Source organism: Homo sapiens, chromosome 3, assembly GCF_000001405.40.
Source record: "Homo sapiens chromosome 3, GRCh38.p14 Primary Assembly".
Lineage (NCBI taxonomy): Eukaryota > Metazoa > Chordata > Mammalia > Primates > Hominidae > Homo > Homo sapiens.
The window spans coordinates 179,520,676-179,546,319 of NC_000003.12; the positions used below are offsets into that span (position 1 = coordinate 179,520,676).

The following is a 25,644-nucleotide window of genomic DNA, read 5'->3' on the forward strand; positions in this document are numbered from 1 at the left end:
CCACAGTTACCATTGTTCCTGGCCCAGACTTCAATCCGGCCTCCCACATTATTCCTGATACCACACCTGACCCCCATGATTGTACCTCTCTGATCCACCTGACATTCACTCCATTTCCCCAAATTTCCTTCTTTCCTGTTCCTCACCCTGATCACACTTGGTTTATTGATGGCAGTTCCACCAGGCCTAATCACCACACACCAGCAAAGGCAGGCTATGCTATAGTACAAGCCACTAGCCCGCCTCTTAGAACCTCTCATTTCCTTTCCATCGTGGAAATCTATCCTCAAGGAAATCACTTCTCAGTGTTCCATCTGCTATTCTACTACCCCTCAGAGATTGTTCAGGCCCCCTCCCTTCCCTACACATCAAACTCGGGGATTTGCCCCACCCAGGACTGGCAAATTGATATTACTCACATGCCCCAAGTCAGAAAACTAAAATACCTCTTAGTCTTGGTAGACACAGGGTCTAAGAAGGCGACCGTGGTCATTTCTTCCCTTCTGTCAGACATAATTCCTCGGTTTGGCCTTCCCACCTCTATACAGTCTGATAACGGACCAGCCTTTATTAGTCAAATCACCCAGGCAATTTCTCTAGCTCTTGGTATTCAGCGAACTCATGGTCTTTTAAAAACTCACCTCACCAACCTCAGCCACCAACTTAAAAAGGACTGGACAATACTTTTACCACTTTCTCTTCTCAGAATTCAGGCCTGTCCTCGGAATGCTACAGGGTACAGCCCATTTGAGCTCCTGTATAGATGCTCCTTTTTATTAGGCCCCAGTCTCATTCCAGACACCAGACCAACTTGGACTGCACCCCAAAAAAACTTGTCATCCCTACTATCTTCTGTCTAGTCATACTCCTATTCACCATTCTCAACTACTCATAAATGCCCTGCTCTTGTTTACGCTGCCAGTTTACACTGTTTCTCCAAGCCATCACAGCTGATATCTCTTGGTGCTATCCCCAAACCGTCACTCCTAACTCCCTCTTAAAGTAAATAAATAATCTTTGCTGGCAGGGCTATGCTGAACCTACTTAGGCACTCTCTAATTGGATGCCCTGAGTCCTCTCAATTCTTAGTCCTTTAATACCTGTTTTTCTCTTTGTCTCATTCCATTCTTTTTTAATTCATACAAAACCATATCCAGGCCATCACCAATCATTCTATATGACAAATGTTTCTTCTAACAACCCCGCAATATCACCCCTTACCACAAAATCTTCCTTCAGCTTAATCTCTCCTACTCTAGGTTCCCAAGCTGCCCCTAATCCCACTCGAAGCAGCCCTGAGAAACATCGCCCATTCTCTCTCCATACCACCCCCAAAAATTTTCGCCGCCCCAACACTTCAACACTATTTTGCCTTATTTTTCTTATTAATATAAGAAGACAGGAATGTCAGGCCTCTGAGCCCAAGCTAAGCCATCATATCCCCTGTGACCTGCATGTACACATCCAGATAGCCAGTTCCTGCCTTAACTGATGACATTCCACCACAAAAGAAGTTAAAATGGCCTGTTCCTGCCTTAACTGATGACATTACCTTGTGAAATTCCTTCTCCTGGCTCAAAAGCTCCCCCACTGAGCACCTTGTGAACCCCCGCCCCTGCCCACCAGAGAACAACCCCCTTTTGACTGTAATTTTCCTTCACCTACCCAAATCTTATAAAACGGCCACACCCCTATCTCCCTTCGCTGATTCTCTTTTAGGACTCAGCCCGCCTGCACCCAGTTGATTAAAAAGTTTTATTGCTCACACAAAGCCTGTTTGGTGGTCTCTTCGCACGGACGCGAGTGAAAGAAGGCATATTTACAGTCAGTATAAATATTGACACGTACTCCTTTTGCAAGAGTGAGGGCCTGAGTTAAGGCAATGAGTTCGGCTTGCTGAGAGATAGTGGAGCGGGGAAGAGCAATAGCCTCAATAATAGATGTGGAAGATACTATAGCATAGCCTGCCTTTGCTGGTGAGTGGCGATTAGGCCTGGTGGAATTGCCATCAATAAACCAAGTGTGATCAGGGTGAGGAACAGAAAAGAAGGAAATATGGGGAAATGGAGTGAATGTCAGGTGGATCAGAGAGATACAGTCATGGGGGTCAGGTGTGGTATCAGGAATAATGTAGGGGCCAGCCTAAAACAGTAAGGGCAAGTTGTTTGGACAGAAAGAGTACAGGGCATGGTCCTGGCTGTTGTGTAGGAATTTTGACCACACAGCTCTGTATTTTGGCTGTGTGTAATGAAAAGGGTTGGGATGAGTTAGGGAGAGCTAGTGTGAGAGTAGCTTTTAGGGCTGTTTTTAAGGAAGGGAAAGAGGAGTGGTGAAAGGATTTAGGATCTATGGGGTCAGCTAGGTTTGCTTTTGTGAGTTCATATAATGGTTTAGTCAGGATGGTAAAACTAGGTATCCAAATGTGGAAGTACCTAACCATGCCTAGGAAGGAAAGGAGCTGTTTCGTAGAAGGGGTTGGGGCTTGGGAGATTAGCCGGACACTATCAGCAGGGAGAGCACGTGTGTTTTCATGAAGAATTATACCGAGATAGGTAAGGGATGAGGAAGAAATTTGGGCTTGATTGAAGTAATGGGGGCTGTCCATGAAGCCTTGCGGCAGTACAGCCCAGGTAATTTGCTGAGCCTGATGGGTGTCAGGGTCAGTCTAAGTGAAAGCGAAGAGAGGCTGGGATGAAGGGTGCAAAGGAATAGTAAAGAAAGCATGTTTGAGATCCAGAACAGAATAATGGGTTGTGGAGGGATTGTGGAGGGAGGTATTGAGGATAGGAGAGTATGTGGGTTTGGCACCACGGGGTGGATAGATAAAACAATTTGGTTGATAAAGTGTGGATCCTGAACTAACTTGTAAGACTTGTCTGGTTTTTGGACAGGTAAAATAGGAAATGGTAAGGAGAGTTTATAGGCTTTAAAAGGCCATGCTGTAACAGGTGAGTGATAATGAGTTTTAATCCTTGTAAAGTGTGCTGTGGGATGGGATATTGGTGTTGAGCAGGGTAAGGGTGATTAGGTTTTAATGGGATAGTAATGGGCGTGTGATTGGTTGCCACGGAGGGAGTAGAGGGGTCCCATACTTGTGGGTTAAGGTGGGGGGGATATGAGAGGAGGATGCAAAGGAGGCTTTGAACTAGGGAAAAGGGCGGCAATGAGGTGTGGCTATAGCCTAGGAATAGTCAGGGAAGCAGATAATTTAGTTAAAGTGTCTCAACCTAATAAGGGAGCTGGGCAGGTGGGGATAACTAAAAAGGAGTGCATAAAAGAATGTTGTCCAAGTTGGCATCAGAGTTGGGGAGTTTTAAGAGGTTTAGAAGCCTGGCCATCAATACCCACAACAGTTATGGAGGCAAAGGAAACATGCCCTTGAAAAGAAAGTAATGTGGAGTGGGTAGCCTCCATATTTTAATTAAGAAGGGGACGGACTTACCCTCCACTATAAGAGTTATCCAAAGTATCTGTGATGGTCCACGAGGCTTCTGAGGTGATTGGGCAGCATCAGTCTTTAGCCACTAAGCCAAGGAGATCTGGGAAGGAGTCAGTCAGAGGGCCTTGGGCCAGGGTTCCAGGGGCTCTGGGAGTGGCTGCCGGGTGAGTTGGCCAGTCTGATTTCCAGTGGGGTCCCACACAGATGGCACATGGCTTGGGAGGAATCCTGGGCTGTGGGCATTCCTTGGCCCAGTGGCCAGATTTCTGGCACTTGAAGCAAGATCCTGATGGAGGAGGTCCTGTAGGAATGCTTGACCACTGTGGCTTAGGCATTTTGAAGTTTTTGTGTGCTGGAGATGTGGCTGGGTTTTGTCTCACAACAGAGTCAAGTAATTGTAACTCTTCTCTATTATTGTACACCTTGAAGGCGAGGTGAATTAAGTCCTGTTGTGGGGTTTGAGGGCCAGGATCTAATTTTTTGAGCTTTTTTTAAATGTCGGGAGCTGATTGGGTAATAAAATGCACATTGAGAATAAGACGGCCTTCTGACCTTTCAGGGCCTAGGGCTGTAAAGTGTCTCAGGGTTGCTGCCAAATGAGCCATGAACTGGGCTGGGTTTTTATATTTGATGAAAAAGAGCCTAAACGCTAACTGATTTGGGAGAGGTCAGATAAAGAAAAAGGAGCATTAACCTTGACTATGCCTACAGCTCCAGCCATCTCTTTAAGAGGAAATTATTGGGCAGGTGGGGGAGGGCTAGTTTCGGAATGAAACTGTAAGCTGGACCAGGTGTGAGCAGGGGAGGGGACAGAAGGATTATAGGGTATGGGAGTGGAGGCTGAGGAAGAATTGGGACCTGGCTCGGCCTGGCGAGGAACAGCCTGGGGAGGAGGGGAGAGGTCAGATGGGTCTGTAGAAAAGGAGGATTCAAAGGACTCAGAGCTTGGGATGCAGACTTAAGGAACAGACAGGAGAGAAAGAAGAAGGATATCGGGTGAGTCGCATTAGGAGCAGAGACTAGGGAGGGACCAATGTGTAAAAGAATGCCTGGACGTCGAGCACCTCAGACCCATTCGCCCATTTTTTGACAAAATTCATCCAGGTCTTGTAAAATGGAGAAATCAAAAGTGCTATTTTCTGGCAATTTAGAACCATTATCGAGTTTGTATTGGGGCCCAAGCGGTGTTGCAGAAGAAAATAAGATGCTTAGGTTTTAGGTCAGGTGAGAGTTGAAGAGGTTTTAAGTTTCTGAGAACACAGGCTAAGGGAGAAGAAGGGGGAATGGAGGGTGGAAGGTTGCCCATAGTGAAGGAGGCAAGCCCAGAGAAAAGAGAGGGTAGAGACACGGAGAAGGGGGTGGTGAGCAGCCCTGGGCTGCAGTGTGGGTGAGCAGCCAAAGCAGGCAACCCCGCAATTGACTTGCCACCAAGGGAATGTGGGTGAATGACCAAGGAGGTGTCCCCGTGGTGATCAGACACCAGTGAAATGTGGGTGAATAATCAGGCAGGCGTCCCCGCAGGGATTAAACACCAAGGGAAGACTGTCTTCCCGAGTCCATGACCAGCGCCGGAGTTTTGGGTCCACGGATAAAATGTGTCTCCTTTGTCTCTACTAGAGAGGAAAAAGAACTGGAATTGGAAGGACAGGGAGATTGAAGGGTAGCGAGAGAGGCTGGAGAAGAGAGTGAAAAGACCACTTACCTGATTTGAAATTGGTGAGATGTTCCTTGGGTTGTTTGGTCTGACGACCCCAGTTCACAGGTGGATCTCCTCATGGAGTGAGGGTGAGGACAGGGGACCGGTCTCCCGAAGGAGTCCTCCTGTCCTGGGTTTCGGCACCAAATGTCACACGCGTCTGTGTGAAGAGACCACCAACAGGCTTTGTGTGAGCAACAAGGCTGTTTATTTCACCTGGGTGCAGGCAGGCTGAGTCCGAAAAGAGAGTCAGCAAAGGGAGATAGGGTGGGGCCGTTTTATAAGATTTGGGTAGGTAAAGGAAAATTACAGTCAAAAGGGGGTTGTTCTCTGGCGGGCAGGGGCGGGGGTCACAAGGTGCTCAGTGGAGGAGTAGCTGAGCCAGGAGAAGGAATTTCACAAGGTAATGTCATCAGTTAAGTCAGGAACCAGCCATTTCCACTTCTTTTGTGATTCTTCACTTGCTTCAGGCCATCTGGATATATATGTGCAGGTCACAGGGGATATGATGGCTTAGCTTGAGCTCAGAGGCCTGACAGACACCAGGCACAAGAATGTAAAATCATTTGCCCCAGATTGTATAGCTAGAAAATGCAGAACTGGGATTGTTGCCTTTCTCTACCCCACTGTCACTGAAGATAAAACATACTGCACTTCAATTTGCAGAGATATGATCAAATATCCCTCAGAAGATTCTGATGTCTAAATGAAAATAGGAGTTTCTGGGCCAATAAAGCTGAGGGCCACACTTTGGACCCTGGAAGGCCACCCTGAGTGGTCTGCTTACCTCTCTCCTGTATGTCTCTATTTTATTCTCTCTCTAACTCAACACTGTCTTTGTTATCTTTATTGCATAATATCTGAACCGTGCTTCCATGCCAAGGCTCTGTCAAGTTATAATCTAGATTGAGTTTTCTTAGTCTGGTTGTATAAACTCTGGAAAGCAGAACAAAATTTTCCTCTCTCTTTTTCTCATCAGCTAGCTCCTTAGATGAAAAATAAATTTCAGTATTACACACCTAGGAGATCCTCAATAAACAGTTCTGAGCTATAGGAAAATTCTTTTTGGCACCATTCCCAAAATTAACAGCAACAAAAATTAATTTTATATATGAACGGTACAAATGGACATTGTAGAATGCATTAGGAGGCTTAAGAGAGCAGAGAGAACATTCTGTGAACTGCTCCCCAACCCCAGGATAAGACTGTGCATTGTTCTGGGAAAAGGGTCTTTAGCAATTAAATAGTTAAACCTCCAGTGAAAGCAGGCCACAGCTGGAGAGAGTGTTTATAGTGCAAGGCAGGAAGTATGGAGTCAATGACTTCTGCTGGCAGGAAGGGGTGGAGGGGAAGGGGGAGGGAAAGAAAAGCAGGATGCCGGGAAGGAGGATTCTTAGTTGTTCTCAGCCTGGAAGACGTTCTCTCTCAATTTGAAGCCAGATATTGGCCAGAAAACTCCCATTGCTACAGAAAGGATGAAAAAGGTGCTGAGTGCAGACAGAGTGAAGCCAAAGTTGGGAGATGCAGGCGTTGTGCCCAGAATACAGTTGGAACTTCCAGCATTTGAATGGAGCAACACAAAAGTAGGAATTGAGATGCTTAGACATCCAGAAATACAGTTGAGAAAGCTTTCTTAAATAATAATGATATTTATTTAGCAATTTTACATGCCAAGAGCTGCACTAAATGTTTTATATTCATTATCCCATTTAATTTTCAAGAATCCAATGAGAAAACTCTCTGTTTTAGAAACTATTCCTCACTTTACAAATGAGCAAACTTGAGGCTTTACAAAGTTAAATAGGTTTCCCAAAGTATAAATTCAAATAGTTTGCTCCTATCAAAATACAAATTTCAAAAAGTTAAAACATGATTTTCATACAAATATATAGTCTAAGACTTACCTACTTCATTTGTGACAAAACCAGCTGGTTTAAAGAGGAGGATAGAAGATTGCTGATAAGTGCGTGTGTGTATGTATGTGTGTGTGTGTGTGTGTGTGTGTGTGTGTGTGTGTACATGTCACCAGTAGAAGAAAAGAATGCTAGATAAAATTGCAGAGTTATATAGAGAACAGAGAACTGACTAATGTCCCACAGAGCAATAAAATCGAAATCTTGGCCAGGCGCAGTGGCTCACACCCGTAATCCCAGCACTTTGGGAGGCTGAGGCAGGTGGATCATGAGGTCAGGCGATCGAGACCATCCTGGCTAACATGGTGAAACCCCGTCTCTACTAAAAATACAAAAAATTAGCCAGGCATGGTGACACGCACCTGTAGTCCCAGCTACTCAGGAGGCTGAGGCAGGAGAATGGCGTGAACCCAGGAGGCGGAGCTTGTGGTGAGCCGAGATCGTGCCACTGCACTCCAGCCTGGGCAACAGAGTGAGACTCCATCTCAAAAAAACAAAAAACAAAAAAACAAACAAAAACCTTTAAGATTCTTTTTTATTGGACATAAAGCATTTGACTCTCTATATGACAAAAAACCAATTGTGACTGATTAATTTTCTAAATGTCCACATCTAATTTTAAAGACAATCAACCCTAATCAATAAAGCATAGTAGATCAAACAAAATGACATCCCTAGGTGATGAGTGGTTTCAGGTGGACTTAGACAATGTTTGCTATGGCCTGAATGTCATCCCCTCAAAATTCTTGTTTTGAAATCACCAATGTGATGGTTATTAGGAGATAAAGTCTTTGGGAGGTGATTAGGTCACCAGGGGAAAGCCATCATGAATGGGATTAGTACGTTTATAAAAGAGGGTCCCAGGGAGCTGCTTTTCCCCTTCCACCCTGTAAGGATACTCTGAGCAGGTGTCTTCTAGATACTGAATCTGCCAGTGCCTTGATCTTGGACTTTCCAGCCTATAGAACTGTGAGAAATACATTTTTGTTGTTTATAAGTTACTCAGTCTAAGGTATTTTGTGATGGCAGGCATTAAGGACTGAGACAATGTTGTGTACAGCACTATCGAATGAAGCTTTCTGTGATGATGGAAATGTTCTATTGCACTGTCCAGTGATGTAGCCACAGGAACATGTAGCTGTTGAGCATTTGAAATGTGACTAGTATGCTGAGGAGTTGAATGTGAATTAATTTAAACTGAAGTAGTCACATGTGACTAGTGACTCCTTTGTTGAATGATGCACTGTATGACTTTGAAAGAGCACAGTCTGCAGAATAGCCAGGTGATTCATACCCACAGTAAATGTTGGGAAGAACTGTTGTACATGATACTGACAAAGGTAGCTGTAGACCACATTTTGAGAAATACTGCTCCACTCCCTGCTCTTACAGAATCCACTTTCAAAAAACGCAAACGTGGTATTATCAATCCCACTTAACGGGACAGAAGGTCAACTGCTGAAAGGCAATATAATTAGTCAGTGGTCATGCAGTTTGGTTATAAAACAAACTGAAAGCAGCTTGTCTAGATCCAGTTGATTGTAGCCCAGAATTGCCAGATCTTGCAACTTTTCAGAAAACTCCACAAATCTGAATTTTTATATAAGATATTCTCGGATTTTCAAAATCCTATGTAGACCAAACAAAATGAGTTTTGAATCCTGATATAGTCCGTAGGCTACCAGTTTCCAACCCCGGTACAAAGATTACCCTGCTGCTAGGCCAGACGCGGTGGCTCACACCTATAATCCCAGCACTTTGGGAGGCCGAGGCGGGCAAATCACCTGAGGTCAGGAGCTTGAGACCAGCCTGACCAACATGGAGAAACCCCATCTCTACTAAAAATACAAAATTAGCCGGGCATGGTGGCACGTGCCTGTAATCCCAGCTACTTGGGAGGCTGAGGCAGGAGAATCGCTTGAACCCGGGAGGCAGAAGTTGCAGTGAGCCGAGATTGCACCATTGCACTCTAGCCTGGGTGATGAGAGCAAAACTCTGTCTCAAAAAAAAAAAAAAAAAAAAAGATTACCCTGTTGTCTCTACAAGGAACTGAGGACAGGGGTTTGGCCTTTCCAGATCTTTCCAGGCAGAATCAAAGGCTTCTCGCAGCACTTGTTAGTATGGCCCGTTCAATGTTCAATGCTGTGAGAAGAAAATTTCTGTTATTTATAAATCACCCAATCTAAGGTATTTTATTACAGCAGCCCAAATGGACTGCTTGTCACATATCCCTAAAAAGTTATTTACATGCCGTCTTTCCAACTAGATTGCAAGTCCCTGGAGAAGAGGCACATACTCAGCTACCTATTGTCAGCATAACACCTGAAAAACAGAAAGCATTTAATATATCTTAGTTAAATGAGTGCGCATGAAAATTAGAAGCTTAAACCAGGCATAGCGGCTACACCTGTAATTCCAGCTCCTTGGGAGCCTGAGGCAGGAGGATTCCTTGAGCCCAGGAGTTCAGACCAGCTTGAGCAACACAGTGAGATTTCCCCCCAAAATAAATTAATCAATTGAAAGTTTTTTAAAAAAATCAGAAACTGGCCGGCCTCAGTGGCTCCCACCTTTAATTCCAGCACTTTGGGAAGCCAACAGGGGAGGATTGCTTGAGGCCAGAAGTTAAAGACCAGCCTGGGCAACATAGCAAGATCTTGTTTCTACTAAAAGTAAAAAAACAAATTAGCTGGGCATGGTGGTGCACGCCTGTAGTCCCAAATACTTGGAAGGCAGAAGCAAGAGGATTTCTTGAGCCCAGAAGTTTGAGGTTGCAGTGAGCTGTGATACACCACTGCACTCCAACCTTGTCTCTTAAAAGAAAAAAAAAATCAGAAGCTTAAATAGGATGGCGATGGGCCAAATGAATTTATTTCCTTGTTGTTGTGTTGTTGTTTTTAAACAACAAGATAGCAGATCCCATTTCTAAAATAAATAAATAAATAAACAGAAAAGTACAGAGTCTTGCTATGTTGCCCAGGCTGGCCTCCAACTCCTGTTCTCAAGCAATCCTCCCACCTCGGCCTCCCAAGTAACTGGGACTGTAAGCACCACATTACTCAACCTGGCTTGAGTGTAGGTTTAAAAACTGTGATGGGGTTCCTCCTTGATCCATAATGGTTTATTTATTGCTGCCACAAATAAAAACATACATGTTAAATGTGTACAGTTATAAAACTTACCCTTATTTATTTATTTATCTATCTTTAAGACAGAGTCTTACTCTGTTGCCCAGGCTGGAGTGCAGTGACGCAATCATGGCTCACTGAAGCTTTGAACCCCCTGGACTCAGGTGATCCTCCCACCACAGTAGCTGGGACTACAGGTATGCACCACCAGGTCTGGCTAATTTTTTTATTTTTAATTTTTTTGTAGAGATGGGGGTCTCCCTATGTTGCCCAGATTAGTCTTGAACTCCTGGGCTCAAAAGATCCTCCTGCCTTAGCCTCCCAAAGTGTTAGGATTACAGGCACGGGCCACCACACCTAGCCAAACTTACCTTTTATTTATATAAAATATACAACTCATACAATGTAACATCTGTCCAGGTAGAAATATGTCAATTAACCATACCGATTGATAGGCCTAAGTATTATGTCTTAATTAATTTTTAAAAATCACATACTTTCCAAGGAACATGATATATTCCTATTTTGAACAGATCCAAATTTTTCCCATGCTGACTTTTGAGGTAAACTAGGTCTTTCTACTGACTTTACCAAAATTATTTTTAAAATATACCTAGCACCTTCTCACATTTTTTCCCTGGGGGCAGAGGGAAACTGTGGTGTAAAGAGAAGTCTACATAGTTTTTTTTTTTTTTAAACAAATCCAGTCATTAAAAGCGGAGCTGCAGAGACAAGAGTAGGGAGCTCTTTTCTGTACTGTGAAGTTTGGTTCTCTCTGAAGTAGAATTTCATCAAACTGAATGTGTTATGCATTTTAAATATATTTGAGGCTAAAAGGGAAAAATAAGTATGTTGTTCTTTCTTGTAGGCTTGCCTTTAGATGTGTCTGGTCACTACCTTGGAAACCCTTACAAATGGCAACTGACGTCAAGAAAAGAGAAAAAACACTGCTGAGGGCACACGGTGCATGCATTATAGATGATTCTGAGGACTGAGGCTTGTGCCAGCACTAAGTGGCTTTAAGATGAGCATAAGCAATCTTCCATTTCACAAACATTCTTCATAAACTGTTTAAGGACTTGGAGGTCTGAAAAAACTTCTTTGAGTTTTTAATTTAAGCAAGGTGACGATTCAGTTATTAGCTTAAGTGTTCTGTCCCACCATAACTGCCAAGGTCATTAAAATGTTTGGCACTAATATATCTCAAAAACAAGTGGAAGCTGCACCCTTGTTTTGAATATAGTTTATCCCAATATTTTATTATGAAAAAATTCAGACAGATAGCAAGTTGAAAGAATTTTACAGTGAACAACCAATATACTCATCACCCAGATTCTTCTATTTTCAATATACTCAACTGGCCTTATCATATGTCTGTCTGTCTACCATGCATCCATCCATCCATCCATCTATTCTTTTATCTATATCTTAATCCATCCACTTTTGATGCATTTCAAATAAATTGCAGACATGAGTTCACTTCCCCTGTAAATATTTCAGCATGCATATCACAACTAGAATTCAGTATTTGTTTATAGGTTTTCTTTTGTTATAACATCTACATATAACATCTACAATGAAATGTACAAATCTTAAGTGTACATTTGCTGTTTTGACAAATGGTTAGTCTCAGAGTGTAGTGGGCTAGTTTTTCTAGATTTATGGTCCTTTTTTTTCTCTAGGGTCTCCACACATATTATCTTTTTCTTTTTTGAAAGGGAGTTTACTTTCTAGAGGTGTTTTAGGTTCATAGCAAAACTGAACAGAAAGTACATAGAATTCCCATACGCCCCCTGCACCAACACCATGTACAGCCTCCCCCACTGTCAACATCCCACACCAGAGTGGTATATTTGTTACAACCACTGAACCTACATTGATATAGTCCATAGCTTACATTAGTGTTCAGTCTTGGTGTTTTACATGCTATGGGTTTGAACAAATATATAATGATATACATCCACCATGGTAGAATCCTACAGAAGTTTCATTGCCTTAAAATTCTCAGTGCTTTGCCATTCATCCCTCCTTCCCCTGGTAACCACTGATCTTTACTGTCTCAATAGTTTTACCTTTTCTAGAGATCATATAGTTGAAATCAAACCTTCCCCTGGGAACCACTGATCTTTTTATTGTCTCAATAGTTTTACCTTTTCCAGAGATCACATAGTTGAAATCGTAGTTGAATTTGCATTTAACAAGTTCGGAACACTCTTTTTTTAGAATCTAAGAAGTGACGTTTCCGAACCTATTGACCTTTTATAAGAAAATATGAATATCCAGCCCTAAAAACTAGAAACAAGCTATCTGTAAAAACGCTTTGTGATGTGTTGCTTTATATCACAGAATTGAACCTGTGATATAGGTTTTCAGATTGACTTCTTTCACTTAGCAATAGGCATTTAAAGCTTTTCCCATGTTTTTCATGGTTTGATAGCTCATTTCTTTGTAGCACTTTTTTGCATTTCTTTTTAGCATCCCCTTATCTGGACGTCCTACAGTTTATTTATTCAGCTACTGAAGGACATCTTGATTGCTTCCAATTTTTGGCAATTGTGAATAAAGCTGCTATAAACATTCATGTGCAGGTTTTTATGTGGACGTAAGGTTTCAACTCATTTGAGTAAATACCAAGGAACATGATTGCTGGATTATATGGTAACAGTAGGTTTAGTTTTGTAAGAAGTTGCCAAACGCTCTTCCAAAGTAGCTGTACCATTTTTCATTCCCGCCAACAATGAATGAGAGCTCCTGTTGTTCCACATCCTTGTCAGCCTTTGGAGATGTCAGTGTTTTGGATTTTGGCCATTCCAATAGCTGTGTGGTAGAATCTCATCATTGTTGTTTTAATTTGCATTTCTCTAATGACATATGATATTGAGCTCCTTTCCATATACTTACTTGCCTCTGTATATCTTCTTTGGTGAGGTATCTGTTCAGGTCTCTTGCCATTTTTTAATCAGGTTATTTGTTTTCTTATTATTGAGTTTTAAGAGTTCTTTGTATTTTAGTTAATAGTCCTTTATCACATATATCTATTGCAAATATTTTCTACCAGTCTGAAGCTTGTCTTCTCATCCTCTTGACAGTGTGTTTTAAAAAGTTATATTCATTTTCCATTAAACAATTAGTCTGTTCAACTGAGGGGAAAACTTGGTAGAAAAGAAGATTCCTGCCATCATGGAACCTACATTTTAATGGAAGAAACAACAATAAACAAATACATGAATAAACATATAATAGGTATTTACGTGGAGTTACTTGCTGGAAAGAAAATTAAAACAAGGTAAGGGGTTAAAGAGTAGCTGGAGAAGGATCACTCTGGCTGCTGTGTAGACCTCATGGGGCCAAGGTAGAATAGACCATACTGGGGGCAAGGGTAGAAGTGGGAGTTAGGAAGTTACTGCCCTCATACAAGCAAGAGACAATGTGGGCATGGACTAGGGTGGAAGCAGTGGGTGTGGTGAGAAATATCCAGATTCTGGACATTTCTTAAAAGTGGCACTGGCATAACTTGCTCATGGGTTGGTTATAAGAGAAAGGATTCGGGGATGGAAGGTAGGTTTGGGCCTAAACAACTGTGTGAATGGTGGTGAAATTGGGAGGAGAGTGTGGAAGGAAGGGGAGGCGGACCAGGCTGGGGGATGGGACAATCAAGTGAATATTCAGGAGGAGATGGCCAAGCAGGCCATTGGGATTCCACCGGAAAGGTTAGGGCTGGAAATACACAAATGAGGGAGTCTTCAGCATATCGAAAGTGTGCTGCATGTCTTTGCAGCCTTCCTTATTCTCACTCCATGCCTCTCCACTCTGCTGTTTACCTTCACACAGCCTGACCTGCATGGATTAAGTCAATGAACTCCAACCCCTGGTTTCCAGCTGGATTCAGCCAGCCTTGGGGCAGATCCGAAAAAAAGAGCAAGTGAGGTGGTGTATTCCCCCAGCTCCCTCGCTGAAGATTGCCTGAGTCCCTTGATCAAAGCCACAGCTCCCATCACACAGACCTCCCCACAGCTGTTCCTCTCTAGGTGCAGTCACTGCTCCTGATTGAATGAGGTTGGATGAGATCACTTAGGGAGTGTGAATAGATAGAAAAGAAGAGCTTTGAGGACTGCCTCCTAGGACACTGTAATATTTAGAGGCCAGAAAGAAGAGGCGGGCTCTGCCAAAGGGGAGTCTGTGTGGCAGAAGAAAAACAGGAACATGTGGTGTCTGGGTAGAGGCTCAGTGAAGGTAGCGTTCTTCAAGAGACAGTTCTCCTGGCCGAGCACAGTAGCTCACACCTGTAATCCCATCACTTTGGGAGGCTGAGGCAGTTGGATCACTTGAGGTCAGGAGTTCGAGACCAGCCTGGCCAACATGGTGAAATGCTGACTCTACCAAAAATACAAAAATTAGCCAGGCGTGGTGGTGCGCCTGTAATCCCAGCTACTCGGGAGGCTGAGGCAGGAGAATCGCTTGAACCCGGGAGGCCGAGGTTGCAGTGAGCCAAGATGGCACCACTGTATTCCAGCCTCAGCAACAGAGGGAAACTGTGTCAACAAACAAACAAAAGAAGCTTAGTTCTCCTAGAGTGTCCTAAGCTACTATTTTCCTGAAACTCTCAGGACCCTTTTTGTTCTCCCTCATCATTCTTGACTTTTCTTCTCTCAGGGTTGTGGTACTTGCTTTGCAATTAAGCTTTAGACACTCCAGATATGCTGATATGTTGTGTCGGACCTCAAGGGGGGTGATGGTTTGAGCTCTGGTCAGAGGCTCTCAGTAGCTGTGCATATCTATAGATGCATCAGGTATGGGAAGGAGAGGGAAACAGGGAGAAACCACCAGGAAATATACACAATTTTTTTTTTTTTTTTTGCGACGGAATCTCACTCTGTCACCCAGCTGGAGTGCAGTGGCATGATCTTGGCTCACTGCAACTCCGTCTCCCAGGTTCAAGCGATTCTCCTGCCTCAGCCTCCCAAGTAGCTGGGACTACAGGTGAGTGCCACCACGCCCAGCTAATTTTTGTATTTTTAGTAGAGACGGGGTTTCACCATGTTGGCCAGGCTGGTCTCGAACTCCTGACCTCAGGTGATCCACCCACCTCGGCCTCCCAAAGTGCTGGGATTATAGGTGTGAGCCACTGCACCCGGCCAGACAATTATTTTTAAATATCTCTCGGGTACTATGCTGTGAATATGATGAAAGCAGGAACTATTTCATATTCACATCGATGTTCAGAACCTAACACCCACTTCACAGTTGCAGCTTGATACAATTTTTTTCAATAAATACTTTTTTTAAAAAAATGACATATGGTAATATAATTATACTATGCTTTTGGTGCATGAAGTCACCTTTACAGACTTGACAACTAATTCCTTGAATTGCCCTAGTATTATACATCTCTGATTATGCTTTTAAATGTTACAAATTACCTGGGTGTGAATGTACTTTTTTTAAAAAAACAATTGTATTGAGGAGATGGTAACATAAACTCTGCAGAAACAAAGGCTGTGAATTTAGGTCACTTGGACTCTGAGGCCATCAGATAAAATATATTAGTACTGCACTACCAACAGTTTTCTTTATTTTAAAATGTGACACTGTTATTCACTAATATCTTGGTGCCATTCCCAGAAAGCATGCTTTATATAACTGACAAGTTTTTGCAAAGACTTTTCTCTATTTGCAGCCTCCATGTTAATGTGTTTGACTGATTTCCTCAACTCTCTTGATCCTTTCCTGACTCAGTTTAGCTGACAAAAATCTGTCTCTTCTACAGGATTCCTAGAAAATATATATATTTATTTATTCATTTATAAAATGAAATTTCACATTCAGCACAACACTGTTGGTTTTGGGGGGGTTTTGTTTGTTTTAGGAGGAAGACCGAGGATAGCAGGCGCAACCATTCCATTCAAGTAGCTGTGGCATTCCTCATTTAACTGGTTGACCAAGGATAAATATGGGTCTCAGTATCTCAGCTTTGGCTGGATTAGGCTCTGGGTGAGGGGACAAAGTGATTGCTGAACTTCCCCATAGACAGGAAGTGTTGTACTAGTCAGGACTCTTTTGGTTGCAAATGACAGAAATGAAGCCAAAATAGAATAAGCGAAAGCGGGAATTTTTGGTTCTCATAAACTGAGGAAAGGGCAGGGCACAAGTGGGCTTCCAGGGATGCCTGGAAGCAGGAAGTCAAATGCCATTAGGATTACCTGTCCCTGCCCCTTTCTCAGACTGCACAGTGATGGAGAGGCCCGAAGCTCCTTCCAGGCTCACCATTTCAACTTCATCACACATGGGACAGTCCCTGATGTTTTTGTTCCAATTTTACAACTCCTGAATGAGGACTTTGAAGATCCATGCTTGGGTTACTTGCCTAGCCCTGAGATCAGTATTTGTCTAGAACCAACTAGTTGGAGTAAGGACAGGAGCTGTTCTTCAGGAGAGGAGGGAAGTGCTGGGCAGACAGTAACGGGTGACCTCCACAAAGCTCAGACTCCTGAATTGGACCAGCCAGCCTCCTTGAACTGCCCTGATTTATAAGTTGTCTTGGATGAGGACTGACCCCAATTCTCAGTTGCTCAAAAATGCCTTCCCGGGAGGGATAGCATTAGGAGATATACTTAATGCTAAATGACGAGTTAATGGGTGCAGCACACCAGCATGGCACATGTATACATATGTAACTAACCTGCACATTGTGCACATGTACCCTAAAACTTAAAGTATAATAATAATAAAATAAAATAAAATAAAAATGCCTTCCCTACTCACAGTCCTCTCAAATGGATTAGTACTGGCATTTGAGGGGTTTTGAGGGATGGGAAAAGAGATGCCGAGAGAGTTGACTGAGGCATTTGCTTGTTGGTGTTTGAGTTGTTAAACTTTTCTAAAACACCATAGGCATTTTTCAATGGTTTTCATCAAAATAGAGAATGTGGACACATTATTAGAAAAGCAGAAGGAAGTCTGTACAAAAGTTATTTACTCTATAATCAAAATGCTGCTGCCAGGCTACAGAGCAAGACTCTGACTTAAGCTTCAAGGCAGAGGTGGGGTAGGGGTGCTGGGGAGGGAAAAGTACCTAAACTTTCCCTTCCCTGGGAAATGTGCTTTTGGTCAAGATAAGCAGATCTATCCCAGTCCACCCCTCCTTGCCTGTTGTTTTTAGAGCACTGAGCAAATGCAAAGCCGACACCAAAAGAGCCCCAGAAATTTTTTCCTGCCCCTGTGGCTCTGATGCTGTGATCGCTGCTCTTGCCTGCCTTTGTGATACTATAGCAAAGGCCAGTGCTGGGTTAGAAATGGGATTTTAGGCTGCTAACCCAGTTGTCTTGGTAGGAAAGAGCTGGATGGAAGAAGGGAGGAAATGGAAAGGCCCCCTGCAGGCATGGGAAACTGGGAGAACGAGTGAGAAAGTGCTGAAGGGTGCAAACTAGGTTGGGTAACATGGGTTTGGGAGGTGTCATGAGTTGAGTGATATCACTCCCAAATAGATATGGTAAGGCCGTAACCCCTACTGCCTGTGTCTGTTAGGCCATTCTTGCACTGCAATAAAGAAATACTTGAGACTGCGTAATTTATAAGAAAAGAGGTTTAACTGGCTCACAGTTCTGCAGGCTGTCCAGGAAGCACAGCAGCATCTGCTTCTTGGGAGGCCTCAGGAAACTAACAGTCATGGCAGAAGGCAAAGGGGGAGCAGGCTTATCACAGGGTAAGAATGGGAGCAAGAGCAAGAGAATGGGTGGGCAAGGTGCCACATACTTTTAAGTGACCAGATCTTGTGAGATCTTACTATCTTGAAGATAGCACCAAGCCATGAGGGATCCGCCATCATCCAAATACCTCCCATCAGGCCTCACTTCCAGCATTGGGGATTAAAATTCAACATGAGATTTGGGCGGCGACAAATATCTAAATTATATCACTGTGAATGTGTCCTTATTTGGAAATAGGGTCTTTGCAGATGTATTCAAATTAAGACGAGGTCATTACGGTGAACACTAATTCAATTAATTCAACATGACTGGTATCCTTATTAGAGGGCAACATTTGGACATAGAGACAGACTCTCACAGAGGGAAAGCAGTGCAGACACGGGATAATACAGCCCTGCGAGGGGCCACGTGGTGACGGGATGGAGGCAGAGAGATTGGAGTTGGGTTGTCAGAAGCCAGGGAACATCTGAGGCTGCCAGAAGCTGGAAGAGGAAAGGAAAGATCTTCCTCTGAGGCTTCCAAGGGAGCATGGTCCTGCCAACACCTTGATCTTGGACTTCTAGCCTCCAGAACTGTGAGACAATGAATTTCTCACAGTTGTTTGAAGCCACTCCATTTGTGACATTTTGTTGTGAGAGCCCTAGGAAACTGATACAGGGGGTGATGTGGGGTTTAGGGAACCAATACAAAAAAAAAAAAAGAAAAACATTAAAAGACTTCATTGGGAAACCCAGTATGTATAATGTGATAGCATTTATTCATCTATGTAAAATTACAACATAACATATGCATATGTATAAAGAAATTCAAATTAAAAATAGAAAATGAAGAAGAAAAATATCTTCCCCATGTTTTCAGCCAAGTAGAGATTCATTCATTTGGATTCACAGGCATCTATTTTAAAACACAAACATCCCTTGAGATCGTTAACTGGAAGAGTTCATTACATTTCATGTAAAGTTTTGTAATTAGCTAATCAAAATACTTAGCTCTTAATGCTCAGCAGAAACCAGTATAGAGGGCCTTCAAATTTTTGCTTAGGAGGAATGCAAGGGCTGTAGTATCTCAGTATGATTAACTTAACCAGGAGTTCAATATTTTTTTAGGACTAATTCTATTTTAAAAATTTCCCTTGTTATTTGGCTTGTTAAAAATTCTACTATATTTGTTAGGCCGTGTGACCTGATCCTTTGTTAGAAGCACGTAAAGTTTGGAGAACTCTGTAGAATGAAAACCTGGCCAGGCACAGTGGCTCATGCCTGTAATCCCAGCACTTTGGGAGAATTGCTTGAGGCCAGGAGTTCAAGACTAACCTGGGCAACATAATGAGACCCCATCTCTACCTACCCCCAATTTTTTTTTAATCAGTCAGGCATGGTGACTCACACCTATAGTCCTAGCTACTTGGGAGGCTGAGGCTAGAGGATCACTTGGTCCTACACATTTGAAGCTGCAGTGAGCTATGATCATGCCACTGCATTCTACCTGGGATGACAGAGTGAGAGTCTATCTCTGGAAAAAAAAAAAAAAAAAGAAAGAAAGAAAGAAAAATAAAACCTAAATAGTGTTCCTCAGTAAGAGTGCTTTAGACAACAAAGGGACAGGCGAAGGCCAAGTGTCACCTATGGGAGAGTGGCAGTGGTTACTGCCATGGGAAAAGGGAAAATAAGGTGAGAGAAAAATTTTGCCGAGTTTCATCATTATGAAAACTGCTTCTTGATACCGTTTAATGTCATTTGGCTATTACCGTTTTGACTTGCCAGTATCTGTATTGCTAGTTAACAAACTGTTGCAAAAATGCAACTGCTGATACAACGGATCCTGCATCCTAATTCATCCTAATTCTCTGACCCCAAATTTAGTTTGGTCCCACGCTTGGGTAGGTTGTACTCTCTTTTTTGGTTGATTCTACTAGTAACAATTTCTGAATCTTTACGCCAAAGTACTTTCCTTTCACTTCTCCTCAAACTAGAGATGTGTGTGGATGTGTGTCCAGCATGAGGGGTGAGGCAACGGTCACTGAGGAGAAAGTTTGAAATGGCCTGCAGCAAGCAAAAAGTTTGGGATTTTTCCAAAAATTATTTAAATTTTACATTCTACTCAGTGCTTTATCAGTGTTTGTTTTAACATTAAAATGTTTTGGCCGGGTGCGGTGGCTCACGCCTGTAAGACCAGCACTTTGGGAGGCTGAGGTGGGCAGATTACCAGAGGTCGGGAGTTCGAGACCAGCCTGACCAACATGGAGAAACCCCATCTCTACTAAAAAATACAAAATTAGCTGGGCGTGGTGGTGCATACCTGTAATCCCAGCTATTCTAGAAGGCTGAGGCAGGAGAATCACTTGAACCGGGGAGGCAGAGGTTGTGGTGAGCCGAGATCACACCATTGCTCTCCAGCCTGGGCAACAGGAGTGCAAAAAAAAAAAGTTTTCGTATTTTAACCCACACATGGGTTAAATAATGTTTTCATTGACTTTCCTATTAGGTTAATTCCCTTTCTCCATATGCCCCTCTCTTCTGTCTTTGAGCAAAAAAGAGGCTCTGTAAGAAGATATGCCATGTTATGTGCTGTAGCTTAGAGGACCTCCTTTCTTTGGCCACCTCCTTTGTCGTATCCCAGGAGTACATACACTGCAGCTCAAGGGGCATAAAGCTGGCACTGGACATAGGAGCTCAAACCCCAGGAGTGACTTAAGGAGCACAGGAAATGGGAGTAAGTAAGTCAGTACAGAGAACATTCCAGCGATCTGCTGCTGATGCCCAGCTCTCTTAAGGCCTCTTAAGGAACTCTCAGAAGTGCTACAAGCCCATCAGACCTGGGCTCACAGCTGAGGTCATCTCAGCTTCTAGCCTAATCAAGATGTAGGACTGGTCTTTGGCAAAACTTTGAAGGAGGCAAAGTGTAGCTTCCTCCTGTTGATTCTGCTTTTGAATTGTTGTATAAGACTGCTCTTCCCCAAAGTGCTCATTCTTCAGATATTTGTCCTTGTCTCAGTGTTTTAGTCTATTTTGTGCTGCTATAAAGGAATACCTAAGCCTGCGTAATTTATTTAAAAAAAAAATGGTTCGCAGTTTTGCAGGCTTACAAAAAGCATGGCACCAGCAACTGCTTGGCTTCTGGTGAGGGTATCAGGCTGCTTCCACTCATGGCAGAAGGTGAAGGAGAGTCTGTACAGAGATCATGTGGAAAGAGAGTAGGAAAGGTGTGGGGGTTGGGAGTGGGAGGTGTCAAGTTCTTTTTAACAATGATCTCCTGTGGGAACTAAGAGAGTGAGAACTCACTCACAGCCTCCCACTCCCAAGGAGGCCATTAATCTATTCATGAAGGATCTGCCACCATGACCCAAACACCTCCCATTAGGCCCCAACTGCAACATTGAGAATCCAATTTCAACATGAGGTTTGGAGGGGACAAATACCCAAACCATAGTGACTAGTTCCTAACACCATTCAACTCTTACCATAGATATTTGCCTCTCCTCTTTACCATTTCCAGGCAATGCCTGCTGAGATAGGCTTTTAAATAGTAGGATTTTAGAAGAGATTTCATTTAAGCATTATGTAGATGGATGAATATGTTATCCTGTTTGCATTGCTATAATGGAATACGTGGCTGGGTGCGGTAGCTCACACCTGTAATTCTAGCACTTTGGGAGGCTGAGGCAGGAGGATCTCTTGAGCCCAAGAGTTTGAGACCAGCCCTGGAAACATAGCAAGACTTTGTCTCTACAAAAAACTTAAAAATTAGCTGGGTGTGGTGGTGTGCACCTGTTGTCCCAGCTACTCAGGAGGCTGAGATGGGAGGATCTCTTCAGCCTGGAAGGTTGAGGCTGCTGTGAGCCATGGTCATGCCACTGTACTCCAGCCAAGGCAATAAAGTGAGACCCTCTTGAAAGAAAGAAAAGAAGGAAGGAAGGAAGGAAGGGAGGGAGGGAGGAAAAAAAGAAAAGGAAAGAAAAGAAAGAGAGAGAGGAAGGAAAGAAGGAAGGAAGGAAGGAGGGAATGAAGGAAAAAAAAGAAAGGAAAGGAAAGGAAAAGAAAAGAGAAAAGAAGGAGAGAGGAAGGAAGGAAGGAAAGAGAGAGGAAAGAAGGAGAAAGTAAGAAAGAGAGAAAGAGGAAAGAAAGAAAGAAAGAGAAAGAAAGAGAGGCAGAGAAGGGAGGGAGGAAAAGAAAGGAAAAGGAAGGAAGGAAAGTGAAGGGAAGGGAAGGGACCTGAGGTTGGGTAATTTATAAATAAAATATATTTAATTAGTTCACGGCTCTGCAGGCTGTAAGGAAGCATGGCATCAGCATCCCTGGTGAGGCCTTAAGAACCTTACAATTATGGAAGAAGGTGGCAGGCGTATCACATGGTGAGAGCAAGAGCAAGTAATGTGGGAGATGGCACGCTCTTAAAAAAAAAACAACAACATAAAAACAGATCTTGCATGAACACAGAGTGAGAATTCTCACTACTGAGAGGGTAGCGCTAAGCCCTTGAGGGACCAGTCTTCATGATCCAAACACTTCCCGCCAGGTCCCACCTCCAAAACGGGAATCACATTTCAATATGAGATTTGGAAGGGACAAATATCCAAATCGTACTAATAAAGGATACATTTAGAGACAAGCAAGCTTTCAGAATCCTTCAAATTGTACTGGGAAAGCAGCTTCTCTTCATCACCTCCCCTCTACCCTTCCCAACCTCTGGTAGCCATCATCTACTCTCTACCTCCATGAGATCAACTTTTTAAGCTCCCACATATGAGTGAGAACATGTGATATTTGTCTTTCTGTGCCTGGCTTATTGCACTCAACATAATGACCTCCAGTTCCATCTATGTTGCTATAAATGACAGAATTTCATCTTTTTTTTTTTTTTTTGAGATGGAGTTTCGCTCTTGTTGCCCAGGCTAGAGTGCAATGGCACGATCTTGGCTCACTGTAACCTCTGCCTCCCAGGTTCAAGCAATTCTCCTGCCTCAGCCTTCCTAAGTAGCTGGGATTACAGGCATGCACCACAACACCCAGCTAATTTTGTATTTTTAGTAGAGACAGGGTTTCTCCATGTTGGTCAGGCTGGTCTCGAACTCCTGACCTCAGGTGATTTGCCTGCCTCGGCCTCCCAAAGTGCTAGGATTACAGGCGTGAGCCACTGCACCCAGCCTAGAATTTCATCTTTTTAATGTCTGAATAGTATTCCATTATGTATATATATCACATTTTCTGTATCCATTTATCTGTCGATGGACACTTAGTTTTATTCTATATTTTGACTGTTGTGAATAGTGCTGCAAAAGACATGGGAGTGCAGATAAGTGTTACATAAGCTTTGTTCAGGCATGAGGTATAGTGCTGTCAGGCATGAGTTCAATGTTAATGAATCAACAATACTTATGCTATGATTATTCTGCTATGGTTTGAATGTTTGTCCTCTCCAAAACTCATGTTGAAACAACCCCCAGTGTGGTAGTATTGAGAGGTAGGACCTTAAGAGGTGAATGAGGCTGGGTGTAATGGCTCATGTCTGTAATCCCAGAACTTTGGGAGGCCAAGGCGGGAGGACTGCTTCAGGCTAGGAGTTTGAGACCAGCCTGGGCAACACAGTGAGACCCTGTCTCTACCAAAAATACAAAAATTAGCTGGGCGTGGTGACATATGTAGTCCTGGCTACTTGGGAGGCTGAGCTGGGAGGATCTCTTGAGGCCAGGAGTTTGAGGGTGCAGTGAGCCAAGATGATATACTGTACTGCAGTCTGGATGACAGAGCAAGACCTTGTCTTGAAAAGAAAAAAAAAAGACATAATTGGGACATGAGGGCTCTGTCCTTATGAATTTATCCATTTATGGATTAATGGGTTAATTGATTAATTAGTTGTCACAGAGTGGGATTTAAAGGAGGAAGGGAGATCTGAGCTAGCCCACTCAGCCCCCTCACCATGTGATGCCCTGTGCCACCTTGGTACTCTGTAGAGAGTCCCCACCAGCAAGAAGGCCCTCACCAAATGTGTCCTCTTGACCTTGGACTTGTCAGTCTCCATAATTATAAGAAATAAACTCCTGATGCAGTGGCTCACGCCAGTAAACCCAGCACTTTGGGAGGCCGAGGTGGGTGGATCACCTGAGGTCAGGAGTTCGAGACCAGCCTGACCAATATGGTGAAACGCTGTCTCTACTAAAAATACAAAAATTAGCTGGGCGTGGTGGTGTGCACCTGTGTCCCAGCTACTTGGGAGGCTGAGACAGGAGAATCGCTTGAACCCAGGAGGTGGAGGTTGCAGTGAGCTGAGATTGCGCCACTGCAGTCCAGCCTGGGTGACAGAGTGAGACTCCATCTCGAAAAAAAAAAGAAGAAACTCCTTTAAAAATAAGTTATCCAATTTTAGAATTCTGTTATAAGCAACAGAAAATGAACTAAGACAATGTCATTAAACAAAAACAAACAAAAACGAACATAAAACAATATTTTGTACTGATTGGTTGATGAACATATTGTGACCAGAAGCTTAGAGGAACCTAACCCTGTGTGGTCCCTAGGTTCAGTATTCTGAACTAAACAATACTAAACAATGATTCAGTACTCACTGAGTCAGTCTGTGTTCATGGTGACTTTCTGGTTACCATGAATAATGAGAATCAACTGTGCCTCTTTTTCAAGGGCTCTGTGAAGATTCAGTGTGAGCATTTAATGTGAGGATTCAGATTTTCTTTTTCTCCCACACTCCTGTGAGTCAGACACATCCATAATGATGAAAGCCTTTTGTAATGTGACTTAAGACTGGGAAGAATATAAACACTCTCTTTTAGTATTAACAAAGAGAGTATTGACCATTAAAATATAAAAAGTCTGATTGCCTGCAGATGTGCCAACCTGAGACCAGACCGCCACAAAGACTTACTGATACTTGTCTCCTCCCCCATCTTCCTTCCAGCAGTGGAACCAGAAAGAATGTCTGGCTCCTAGGCTGGTGGCTGGACAGCAGAGGAGGTGAGTGAAGAGCTTGGGAGTGAAGAGATAAAAGGAGTGGACACAGCTCAAATGTGGACAGCACCCTGGAAGATACTCTTAGCCAGCCATGGAGGTGACCATGTAATGTGGTCCCACTGTCCAGGATAAAAGGTCCCCTGAACAGAACTAGAGATAAGTTGAAAGGACTAGAGAAGCTACCTCCAAGTTTCTGATACCTTTGCACTCATTTCTTAGTTCTATGGACTCTGTGAGAGTTAGAATATAATACTTGAACTTAAGTAAAAGTCCTAAATTCGTATTTCTCAGAATTTCATGGGTGTGGTTTATAGGCTAAGAGTAAAATCATTTGAAATGGACTTATTCCTCCACAGTAAGTGTCTTAATACTGGAGTTACATATATAGAACACCGAATAGTATACCTGGCATATAACAAGTTTTCAGAACATGAAAAAATATTGAGGAAAGTGGAGCAAGATAGACAAATAGAATCCTTCACCGATTATCCTCCTTGCAGGAACACCAAATTGAACAATTATCTACACATAAAAGCACCTTCATAAGAACCAAAAAATCATGTGAGCAATCACAGTACCTGGTTTTAAATTCATATCACTGAAAGAGTTACTGAAGAGGGTAGGAAAGAGTCTTGAATTGCTGACACCGCACCTCCCTCATCCCAGCTCCTGGATAACATTTCTAGACACATGTTGGGCCAGAAGGGAACCCACAGTCTTGAAGGGAAGGACTCAGTCGTGGCAGGATTTATCACCTGCAGACTAAAGAGTCTTTGGGCCCCAAATAATTAGCAGCATTAACC

At 43.2% G+C, this 25,644-nt stretch overlaps 1 protein-coding gene across 2 annotated transcripts in view, besides 1 other annotated feature; it reads right to left on the reverse strand.

The window, feature by feature from the left end:
- GNB4 (G protein subunit beta 4) overlaps positions 1-7,123 on the reverse strand; it is a 131,711-nt gene extending 124,588 nt beyond the window's left edge. Inside the window, exons 1-2 of one of the 2 annotated variants that reach the window (XM_047448654.1) lie at positions 7,044-7,123; positions 5,142-5,295 (exon numbers count right to left, since the gene is read on the reverse strand). The gene's annotated coding sequence lies outside the window, so the exon portion shown is untranslated. Of the gene's footprint in view, positions 1-5,141; positions 5,296-7,039 lie in introns of both variants that reach the window. The other variant, XM_047448653.1, reaches the window with a different exon arrangement.
- Positions 6,148-6,698: an enhancer, noted in NCBI's record as "OCT4-NANOG hESC enhancer chr3:179244611-179245161 (GRCh37/hg19 assembly coordinates)". NCBI's record gives its function as "activates a minimal SCP1, AML or CMV promoter by ChIP-STARR-seq in primed H9 embryonic stem cells {active_cell/tissue: H9 hESC(primed)}" and the evidence as "EXISTENCE:reporter gene assay evidence [ECO:0000049][PMID:30033119]".
- Positions 7,124-25,644: the final 18,521 nt, after the last annotated feature.